The sequence below is a fragment of the Homo sapiens genome, chromosome 1 (assembly GCF_000001405.40).
Source record: "Homo sapiens chromosome 1, GRCh38.p14 Primary Assembly".
NCBI lineage: Eukaryota > Metazoa > Chordata > Mammalia > Primates > Hominidae > Homo > Homo sapiens.
Window position 1 is genome coordinate 154,285,866 of NC_000001.11, and position 12,170 is coordinate 154,298,035.

The following is a 12,170-nucleotide window of genomic DNA, read 5'->3' on the forward strand; positions in this document are numbered from 1 at the left end:
TGTACACCCTATGTAAATGGAGAGGATGAAGTAAAGTTACAAAGTCATTTACTTGGCCTAGGCCCTATGGAGAGGTTATTTCCTGTCATAGCTGAAGTGTGAATTGGCCTTATGTTCCCTGCCTCCAGACCCTATTTTCCTGCCTCAAATCTATAGTGGTAATAGAAGAACCTGTGTTCTTTCTGACTTTGAGGCAAAGGAGGGCTTCTTAAATAAGACCCCAAAATACAAACCATAAGTCAGACAATGGGTTAATTTTTTATATCAAAATTAAGGGGCCAGGCATGGTGGCTCACACCTGTAATCCCAGCCCTTTGGGAGGCCTAGGCGGGTAGATGACCTGAGGTCAGGAGTTCGAGACCAGCCTGACCAACATGGTGAAACCCCGTCTCTACTAAAAATACAAAAATTAGCCAGGCATGGTGGCGCATGCCTGTAATCCCAGCTACTCGGGAGGCTGAGGCAAGAGAATCGCTTGAACCTGGGAGGTGGAGGTTGTGGTGAACCGAGATTGCACCTTTGCACTCTAGCCTGGAAAACAAGAGCGGAACTCTGATTCAAAAAAAAAAAAAAAAAAATTAAGGGCTGAATGTGGTGGCTCACGCCTGTAATCCCAGCATTTTGGGAGGCTGAAGTGGGCAGACTGCTTAAGCTCAGGAGTTTGAGACCAGCCTGGGCAACATGGTGAAACCCCATCTCTACCAAAAATACAAAAAATTAGCTGGGCATGGTGGCACGTGCCTGTGGTCCCAGCTACTTCGGAGGCTGAGGCGGGAGGGTCACTTGAGCCAGGGAGGTGGAGGTTGCAGTGAGCCAAGAACGTACCATTGCACTCCAGCCTGGGTGACGAAACCCTGTATATATATATATAATTAAATAATCCTGCTCAATAATGGAAACTATAATCAAAGGTAATAGTGAATAGACCTAGGGCGGAGTTTGCAAAATTTAAAGCAAGCAATGGGTTAATATCTAGACCACACAACCCACTCCTCAAATCAATAAGGCACTAAACTAAAAGCAAGAAAATAGGGCTCCCTCTCCCTCTCCCTCTCCCCACGGTCTCCCTCTCCCTCTCTTTCCACGGTCTCCCTCTGATGTCGAGCCAAAGCTGGACGGTACTGCTGCCATCTCGGCTCACTGCAACCTCCCTTCCTGATTCTCCTGCCTCAGCCTGCCGAATGCCTGTGATTGCAGGCGCACGCCGCCATGCCTGACTGGTTTTCGTATTTTTTTGGTGGAGATGGGGTTTCGCTGTGTTGGCTAGGCTGGTCTCCAGCTCCTAACCGCGAGTGATCCACCAGCCTCGGCCTCCCGAGGTGCCGGGATTGCAGACGGAGTCTCCTTCACTCAGTGCTCAATGGTGCCCAGGCTGGAGTGCAGTGGAGTGATCTCGGCTCGCTACAACCTCCACCTCCCAGCAGCCTGCCTTGGCCTCCCAAAGTGCCGAGATTGCAGCCTCTGCCCGGCCGCCACCCCGTCTGGGAAGTGAGGAGCGTCTCTGCCCGGCCGCCCATCGTCTGGGATGTGAGGAGCCCCTCTGCCTGGCTGCCTAGTCTGGAAAGTGAGGAGGGTCTCTGCCCGGCCGCCATCCCATCTAGGAAGTGAGGAGCGCCTCTTCCCGGCCGCCATCCCATCTGGGAAGTGAGGAGCGTCTCTGCCCGGCCACCCATCGTCTGAGATGTGGGGAGCACCTCTGCCCTGCCGCCCCGTCCGGGATGTGAGGAGCGTCTCTGCCCGGCCGCCCCGTCTGAGAAGTGAGGAGACCCTCTGCCTGGCAACCGCCCCGTCTGAGAAGTGAGGAGCCCCTCCGCCCGGCAGCCGCCCGGTCTGAGAAGTGAGGAGCCCCTCCGCCCAGCAGCCACCCCGTCTGGGAAGTGAGGAGCGTCTCTGCCCGGCAGCCGCCCCGTCCGGGCGGGAGGTGGGGGGTCAGCCCCCCGCCCGGCCAGCCGCCCCGTCCGGGAGGTGAGGGGCGCCTCTGCCCCGCCGCCCCTACTGGGAAGTAAGGAGCCCCTCTGCCCGGCCACCACCCCGTCTGGGAGGTGTACCCAACAGCTCATTGAGAACGGGCCATGATGATAATGGCGGTTTTGTGGAATAGAAAGGGGGGAAAGGTGGGGAAAAGATTGAGAAATCGGATGGTTGCCGTGTCTGTGTAGAAAGAGGTAGACATGGGAGACTTTTCATTTTGTTCTGTACTAAGAAAAATTCTTCTGCCTTGGGATCCTGTAGATCTGTGACCTTACCCCCAACCCTGTGCTCTCTGAAACAGGTGCTGTATCCACTCAGGGTTGAATGGATTAAGGGCGGTGCAAGATGTGCTTTGTTAAACAGATGCTTGAAGGCAGCATGCTCTTTAAGAGTCATCACCACTCCCCAATCTCAAGTACCCAGGGACACAAACACTGCGGAAGGCCGCAGGGTCCTCTGCCTAGGAAAACCAGAGACCTTTGTTCACTTGTTTATCTGCTGACCTTCCCTCCACTATTGTCCTGTGACCCTGCCAAATCCCCCTCTGCGAGAAACACCCAAGAATGATCAATAAAAAAAAAAGAAAAAGAAAAAAAGAAAATAGGTAAAAAACATGATTAAGCACTCACTGATGAGTAGCTTCTGACTTTCATTCTGAGTTTGCTGAACCCAGATGCCATTCCTGGGAAGGAAAAAAATAAACATGGTAAGCAATCACAGAAGGGGAAATCTGAATACCAACAGTATAAATTAATCCTCTACCTTGAACGCAATCAGAAAAATGCACATTAAAATAATAATGAGATACCACTTTACACCCATCAGGTAGGCAAAAATTAGTCCGGTAATACCAAATATTAGCAAGATCCAAGATGAGAGGAAACAAATCCCTGCTGTACTCCTGGAGTGTGAGACATGCAGCCGTTTCCATTTTTGTAGTAAAGAATCTGGCAGAGCTTTGTGAAATTAAATATGCACATGCTCTATGACCCAGCAATTCTACTCTGTCGACCAAAAGAGTGGAACTCTGTAAAATATTTGAAGAGATTTATTCTGACTCAAAGATGACTGACCATGGCCTGTGACACAACCCTCAGGAAGTCCTGAGAACCTGTGCACAAAGTGGTTGGAGTGCAGCTTGGTTTTATACACTTTAGAGAAGAATGACACATCAATTAAATACATTTAAGACATACATTGGTTTGGTCTAGAAAGGTGGAACAACTCAAAGTGGGGGCTTCGAGGCTATAGGTGAATTTAAATGTTTTCTGGTTGACAATTGGTTAAGGTTGTCTAAAGAGCTGGGATAGATAGAAAGGGAATGTTCAGGTTAAGATAAAGATTGTGGAGACCAAAGCTCTTTTGAAGTCTCATAATGGCTGCCTTGGAGACAATAGGTGACAAATGTTTCCTATTCAGATCTCAGTTAGTCTCTTTAGGATTGGGAGGATCTGGAAGAAAAAGATGTATATATATATACACATATATATATTTATATATATGTATATGTATATGTATTTTTATATATATGTATTTATGTATAAATATATATATATATATATATTTTTTTTTTGAGATGGAGCCTCGCTCTGTCTCCCAAGCTGGAGTGCAATGGCGCGATCTCCACTCACTGCAGCCTCCAACTCTTGGGTTCAAGTGATTTTCCTGCCTCAGCCTCCCAAAGTGCTGGGATTACAAGCATGAGACACCGCCCCCAGCCCTGGCTATGTTAATAGAGATTCTTTATGGATGTAGATTTTCCCCACAAAGAACAGCTTTGCAGGGGCATTTTAAAATATGACAAAGAAACATGTTTTGGGGTAAAATATTTTGATTTTCTTCTTTGTCTCGTAATGTTATACCAGAGTCAGGTTGGAAAGTAAATCATGATATATAGGGTTAAATAAAACCTATCTGATGAGAATTTATGATTTGTAGGTCATGACTCCCCAGATCCCTTAGATAGGAATTTGGGCAAGATAAAAAAAATTAGAGTTTAGTCCTCAACTCCTTCATATACGTTACAGAGAAACTTGTGTCTAGATTCATAAGGGGTCACATGCAAGAATATTTATCACAGCATTATTTGTGGAAGCTCAATGTTAGAACTCAGTTTTGGGTGACTTTCATTAGCAAAGTAGAAAGGTTAAATATAAGCCTGGTGCAGTGGCTCACGCCTGTAATCCCAGCACTTTGGGAGGCTAAGGAGAGCAGATCACCTGAGGTCCGGAGTTCGAGACCAGCCTGGTCAACACGGTGAAACCCTGTCCCTACTAAAAATACAAAAATTAGCTGGGCATGGTGGCAGGCGCCTGTAGTCCCAGCTACTTGGGAGGCTGAGGCAAGAGAATCGCTAGAACCTGGGAGATGGAGGTTGCAGTGAGCTGAGATCACGCCATTGCACTCCAGCCTGGGCAACAGAGCGAGACTCCATCTCAAAAAAAAAGAAAGAAAGAAAGAAAAAGAAAGGTTAAATATGGGAGTTGCATAGTATAGAATGCTACTCAGCAGATATACAAAATATTCAAAAGACAACATGGAGAGATCTTAAAAATAGTAATGAGTGAAAAAACAAAACCATATTGTTTGCACAGTAACACTCATGTCAATTTAAAACTACACCAAGGAACGTGCGCGGGGTTCATGCCTGTAATCCCAGCACTTTGGGAGGCCGAGGCAGCAGATCACCTGAGGTCCGGAGTTTGAGACCAGCCTGGCCAACATGGTGAAACCCTATCTCTACTAAAAATACAAAATTACCTGGGCATGGTGGCAGGCACCTGTAATCCTAGCTACTTGGGAGGCTGAGGCAGGAGAATCGCTTGAACCTTGAAGGAAGAGGTTGCGGTGAGCCGAGATCACACCATTGCACTCCAGCCTGGACAACACAGCGAGACTGTCTCAAAAAAAATAAAAATAAAAATAAGATACATTAAAATAAATAAATAAATAAAAACTACACCAAGGAACTTCTGGCTATAGCAGTGTAAAGGGATCTGTGAATCTTCACCAAAAAAACTATGAAATTAAATAAAATTGCCCCAAACAATGATTTCAAGTCTCTGGAAACTGAGCAAGGCAGAAAACAAATTGAGGAGCTTTTATTCTTGAAAAACTGCTACAGCTTCAAGCAAAAGCAATGTGAGTTTGCAGCCTTCTTGCCTGAGGCTGCTCCCATCCAACTTCCTTGGTGGCTGGGAACTGTAGTTTTACCAGTATGGAACTGGCTGTGAAAATCAGCAATGTTTGCTGTCACAGTGGGTAGACTGAAATTGTAGGAGTTAGTTAGGTGGAGGCGGACAAAAGCCTACAATGTTCTCAGCTGAATGATATGAAGTTGGTAGGAAATAAACAGGCAAAAAACCCTCTAGCTGTACTAACTCAAAGTAGCACTCCTAGTTGTGTTCAGTGGTGGAAAAGCCAGAAATTTAGCTGGAAAATAGGAAACTACAAAAGGGCTGAGATAAGCTCTCCCACATCCCTGGCTCACTGGGAAACTATCATATGCATGGAGGATAGCTCAGAGAGCTCCCTGAAAAATAAAAGACAAGGAAGACTTGAACACTGCTGCACATTTTAATACACTTCTCATCCTTCAAACAGATATATTGGCAGAAGTGGATGCTATATGGGCTTGAGGTGTTGGAACACAATGCTTATTCTAATCATTGGCTGAACACTGTGCTATGTAAGCATAGGGGTGATACTGCTGCGGGATAATTAAGGAATCAGAGAGACCGAGGGATTGAGGAGGAGTTATTTAATTATTTAGGTTCACTGACCCAGTTGGATTAACATCCAAAGGACTGAGCCTGGAACAAAGAGTCAAGCTACCTTTTAAGCATTTCGTGGGGTGGGGGGAGATCTGTGCGGGGGGAAGCGTATTATAGAAGCGAGAGACAAAGACAGTTATTCAGTTAAGGCATGCATTACATTATTTCTTACTGTTCAAGGAACAACATGTTTTACGACTTGAGATTATCTGTCTAGTGACCTTGCAGCTGCACAGCTAGAGAAACAGAGTCTTCACAATGCCTGGTAAATGGAGAGATAAGGCTCACTAGCCACAGAGAGAAAAACAGGCAGTTAATTTTAAAGGACTCCAGCCCTTTCTGTTCCTCAAGGGGGAATTGGGTTTTCTTACATACAACTGAGTTTTTGCTTACACAGTCTTTAATTTTTTTTTTTTTTTTGAGACAGAGTCTCACTCTGTTGCCCAAGCTGGAGGGCAGTGGCGCCATCTTGGCTCACTGCAAGCCCCGCTTCCCAGGTTCACGCCATTCTCCTGCCTCAGCCTCCCGAGTAGCTGGGACTACAGGTGCCCGCCACCATGCCTGGCTAATTTTTTTGTATTTTTAGTAGAGATGGAGTTTCACCGTGTTAGCCAGGCTGGTCTCAAACTCCTGACCTTGTGATCCACCCACCTCAGCCTCCCAAAGTGCTGAGATTACAGGCATGAGCCACTGCGACCGGCCTACAGTCTTTAATTTCTTTTAATTCCTGTTCTAATCCTTGAGGGAACATTTTTTTTTTTTTGAGACGGAGTCTAACTCTGTCGCCCAGGCTGGAGTGCAATGGCTCGATCTTGGCTCACTGAAACCTCCACTTCCCAGGATCAAGCAATTCTCCTACCTCAGCTTCCCGAGTAGCTGAGAGTATAGCTGGGTGCCACCATGCCCGGCTAAATTTTGTATTTTTAGTAGAGATGGGGTATCGCCATGTTTGCCAGGATGGCCTCAAACTCCTGACCTCAGGTGATCCATCCACCTTAGCCTCCCAAAGTGCTGGGATTACAGACATGAGCCACTGCACCTGGCTGGAAAAATTTATTATTATTATTATTTGAGATAGGGGTCTCACTCTGTCACCCTGGCTGAAGTATAGTGGCATGATCTCGGTTCACTGCAACCTCTGCCTCCCAGTCGCAAGCAATCTTCCTACTTCAGCTCATGAGTAGCTGGGACCACAGGTACATGCCACCACTACCTGCTAAGTTTTTGTATTTTTAGTAGAGATGGGGTCTTGGTATGTTGCCCAGGCTGGTCTCAAACTCCTGAGCTCAAGCCGCTTTGGCCTCCCAAAAGTGCTGGGATTAAAGGTGAGCCACCATGCCTGACCCCTGTGGGAAAATTTTAAAAACAAGAATAAATGGCCGGGCATGGTGGCTCATGCCTGTAATCCCAGCACTTTCGGAGGCCGAGGTGGGAAGATCACCTGAGGTCAGGAGTTGAAGACCAGCCTGACCAACATGGAGAAACCCTGTCTCTACTAAAAATACAGAATTAGCCAGGCATAGTAGTGCATGCCTGTAATCCCAGCTACTCACTACTCAGGAGGCTGAGGCAGGAGAATCACTTGACCCCTGGAGGCAGAGGTTGCAGTGAGCCAAGATCATGCCATTGCACTCCAGCCTGGACAACAAAAGCAAAACTCCATCTCAAACAAAACAAAACAAAACAAAACAAAACAAAACAAAACAAACAAACAAACAAAAAAAACGAGAATAAAAACTGAGCAGACACATTAGCAGCTGCACACTGTGGAATGATAGACTCTACAGTTTAACTCCAGACAAATGACACACACACACACATCAGCATCACCAGCATCACCACCATTCAGAAAAATACAATAGAATCCAGACTCTACGGTTTAACTCCAAATTACACACACACACACACACACACACACACACACCCCATCAGCATCACCAGCATCACCACCTTTCGGAAAAATACAACAGAATCCAGAGTTATTACAGTCTATTATCTAAAATGACCAGTTTTTTAGAGGAGGAAGAGGATAAAATGATCAGTTTTCAAGAAAAAAATTATGACACATGCGAAGAAACCTAAAAAACAGTAACTCATATCCTGATTTTAAAAGTCAATGAAAACTAGCCGGGTGCAGTGGCTCACGCCTGTAATCCCAGCACTTTGAGAGGCCGAGGCGGGTGGATCACCTGAGGTCAGGTGTTTGAGACCAGCCTGGCCAACATGATGAAACCCTGTCACTACTAAAAATACAAAAATTAGTCAGGCATGGTGGTGGGCGCCTATAATCCTAGCTACTGGGGAGGCTGAGGCAGGAGAATTGCTTGAACCTGGGAGGCGGAGGTTGCAGTGAGCTGAGATCATTCCACTGCACTCCAGCCTGGGTGACAGAGCAACACTCTGTCTCCAAAAAAAAAAACAATAAAAAACAAAATAAAAACTGAGTCCAGGCACAGTAGCTCACACCTGTAATCCCAGCACTTTGGGAGGCCGAGGCTGGCAGATCACGAGCTCAGGAGATCAAGACCATCCTGGCTAACAAAAAAATTAGCCGGGCATTGTGGCGGGCGCCTGTAGTCCCAGCTACTTGGGAGGCTGAGGCAGGAGAATGGTGTGAACCTGGGAAGCGGGGCTTGCAGTGAGCCGAGATGGCACCACTGCACTCCAGCCTGGGTGATAGAGTGAGACTCTGTCTCAAAAAAAAAAAAAATAAATAAAAATAAAAACTGACTCTGAGTAGGCCCAGAAGTTGAATTTGGCAGACAAAGACTTTAAAGCACATATTATAAATATGTTCAAGGAATTAAATAAAAATGTTTAACAATGACTCAATAAATATGGAATCTCAACAGAGAAATAGAAGCTATAAAAAAAGAATCAAACAGAAATTCTAGAATTATAAAGTAAAATAACTGAAATGAAAATTTTACTAAATGAACCCAATAGCAGATTTAAGATAGCAGAGGAAAAATTTAATAAACTTGAAGATAGATCAATAATAATAATCTAGTCTGAATGACAGAGACAAAAATGATTGCAGGAAAGTGAACAGCTGGGTACAGTGGCTCACACCTGTAATCCCAGCACTTTGAGAGGCTGAGGCAGATGGATTGCTTGAGCCCAGGAGTTTAAGACCAGCCTGGGCAACATGATGAAACCCTATCTCAACAAAACATACAAAAGTAAGCTGGATATGGTGGTGTGCCCCTATAGTCCCAACTACTTGGGAGGCTGAGGCAGAAGAATCGCTTGAGCCTGGGTGGTCAAGGCTGCAGTGACCATGTTCATGTCACTGCACTCCAGCCTGGGTGACAAAGCAAGACTGTCTCAAAAAAAGAAACAAAAAAACCAAAAAACAAAAACAAAAAAACACCGAAAACAAAAAGACTCAGAGGCCAGTGGTACATCAAGCATGCCGATATACATGTAATACATGTCCAAAGGAGAGGAGACAAAGGGTCAGAAAAAAGTAGTTGAAAAAATAATACAAAGGCCAGGTGTGTAGCTCACACCTGTAATCCCAGTACTTTGGGAGGCCGAGGCGGGCAGATCACAAGGTCAAGAGATTGAGACCATCCTGGCCAACATGGTGAAACCCCATCTCTACTAAAAATGCAAAAATTAGCCAGGTGTAGGGGTGTGTGCCTGTAGTCCCAGCTACTCAGGAGGCTGAGGCAGGAGAATCACTTGAACCTGGGAGGCAGAGATTGCAGTGAACCGAGATCTTGCCACTGAACTCCAGCCTAGCGACAGAGTGAGACTCCATCTCAAAAAACAACAAATAATAATAATAGCCAAAAACTTTTCAAATTTGATGAAAAACATTACACATCTGAGAATCTCAATAAACCTCAAATACATAGACACATCACGGTCAACTTGTTTAAAGACAATTGGCTACCACATGTACAAAAATTCGAACAATTCAGAGAAGATTAGCCAGTCTCCTGTACAAGAATGGCATGCAAATTTGTGAAGCATTCCATATTTTTACATGTAAATAAAAGAAAAAATAAAAGCAAATGTACTATATATAGAGAGTAATACTACTGTGTTAAATACACAGATGAATACAAAAAATCTGAGCATGGAAGAATGAATTTAAAAATAAGTGATTACAATAAAAAGACAAAAAAGATCTTTCAGACAGCAAGAAAAAAAGACTCATCAAATATGGGGGAAGAAGTACACAATTAACGGCAGACTTCTCTTCAGAAACAATGGAGACCAGGAGGCAATGGAATGAGATATTTTAAGAGCTGAAAGAAAATTACGGCCATGTGTGGTGGCTCATGCCTGTAATCTCGGCACTTTGGGAAGCCAAGGCAGGTGGACTACTTGAGCTCAGGAGTTTGAGACTAGCCTGAACAACATGGCAAGGCACCATCACTACATAAAAATTTTTAAAAATTAACTAGTTCCAGCCTGGCCAACATGGCAAAACCCTGACTGTAATAAAAATACAAAAAAAAATTAGCTGGGCGTGGTGGCTAACACCAGTAATCCCAGCACTTTGGGAGGCCGAGGCAAGTGGATCACTTGAAGTCAGGAGTTTGAGACCAGCCTGGCCAACATGGCAAAACCCCGTCTCTACTAAAACTACAAAAAAATTAGCTGGGTGTGGTGGCGGGCACCTGTAATGCCAGCTACTCGGGAGGCTGAGGCAGGAGAATCACTTGAAGCTGGGAGGCGGAGGTTGCAGTGAGCCAAGATCACACCACTGCACTCCAGCCTGGGCAACAGAGCAAGACTCCATGTCAAAATAAATAACAAGGCTGGGCACGGTGGCTCACGCCTGTAATCCCAGCACTTTGGGAGGCAGAGGCAGGCAGATCATGAGGTCAGGAGATCGAGACCATCCTGGCTAACATGGTGAAAACCTGTCTCTACTAAAAATACAAAAAATTAGCCAGGTGTGGTGGCAGGCACCTGTAGTCCCAGCTACTTAGGAGGCTGAGGCAGGAGAATGGCATGAACCTGGGAGGCAGAGCTTGCAGTGAGCTGAGATCTTGCCACTGCACTCCAGCCTGGGCAACAGAGCGAGACTCCGTCTCTAAATAAATAAATAAATAAATAACAAAATACAAAAAATTAGCTGGGCATGATGGTGCATACCTGTAGTCCCAGCTACTCGGGAGCCTGAGGTATGAGAATCACTTGAACCCGGGAGGCAGAGGTTGCAGTGAGCCAAATTGGCACCACTGCACTCTAGCCTCCAGCCTGGGTGACAGACTGAGACTCTGTCTCAAAAAAAAAAAAAAAAAAAAAAAGAAAAGAAAGATTTAAGGGATAAAGCTAAAGCAATGCTTAGAAGAAGATTTGTAGCTTAAATGCCTTTAGTAGAAAGAAAGAAAGGTCTACAATCAATAATCTAGGCTGGGCATGGTGGCTCACGCCTGTAATCCCAGCATTTTGGGAGGCCGAGGCAGGTGGATCACCTGAGGTCAGGGGTTTGAGACCAGCCAGGCCAACATGACGAAACCCGAAACCCCATCTCTACTAAAAATACAAAAACTAGCTGGGTGTGGTGGCACATGCCTGTAATCCCAGCTACTTGGGAGGCTGAGACAGAGAATCGCTTGAACCTGGGAGGCAGAGGTTGTAGCTGGCCGACATTGTACCACTGCACTCCAGCCTGAGTGACAGAGCAAGACTCTACCTCAAAAAAATAAAAAACAAAATAAAATAAAATCAATAATCCAATCTTTCACTTCAAGAAGCTGGAAAAATAAGAGTAAATCAAACATAAAGTAAATAGAAGAAAGAACATAATAAACGCCAGACTGAAAAATCAATGAAATAGAAAACAAAAACTTTAGAGGCAGGAGAATCGCTTGAACCTGGGAGGCAGAGATTGCAGTGAACTGAGATCTTGTCACTGAACTCCAGCCTGGAGACAGAGTGAGACTCCATCTCAAAAAACAAACAAAAAAAATAATAGCCAAAAACTTTTCAAATTTGATGAAAAACATTACACATCTAAGAATCTCAATAAACCTCAAATACCTAGACACATCACGGTCAACTTGTTTAAAGACAATTGGCTACCACATATACTAAAATTTGAACAATTCAGAGAAGATTAGCCAGTCTCCCGTATAAGAATGGCATGCAAATTTGTGAAGCACTCCATATTTTTACATGTAAATAAAAGAAAAAATAAAAGCAAATGTACTATATATATAGAGTAATACTACTAGTTATTTGGAAAGATCAACAAAACAGACATATCTTTAGCTAGATTGCCCAAGAAAAGAGGAAAGAACATACACATTACCAAAATCAAGAATGAAAGAAGGGACATCTTGTCCAAGTGTGGTGGCTCATGCCTGTAATCCCAGCAGTTTGGGAGGCCGAGGCGGGCAGATCAAATGAGGTCAGGGGTTTGAGACCAGCCTGGTCAACATAGTGAAACCCTGTCTGTAT

At 45.0% G+C, this 12,170-nt stretch overlaps 1 non-coding gene and 2 pseudogenes across 1 annotated transcript; all 3 read left to right on the top strand.

Moving 5' to 3' along the window:
• Positions 1-2,594: 2,594 nt before the first annotated feature.
• Positions 2,595-2,662, top strand: LOC124904806 (small nucleolar RNA SNORD59). The gene has a single exon (XR_007067387.1). It is a non-coding gene; the product is annotated as a small nucleolar RNA SNORD59 (small nucleolar RNA).
• Positions 9,638-9,736, top strand: RNU6-239P (RNA, U6 small nuclear 239, pseudogene; annotated as a pseudogene).
• Positions 11,785-11,883, top strand: RNU6-121P (RNA, U6 small nuclear 121, pseudogene; annotated as a pseudogene).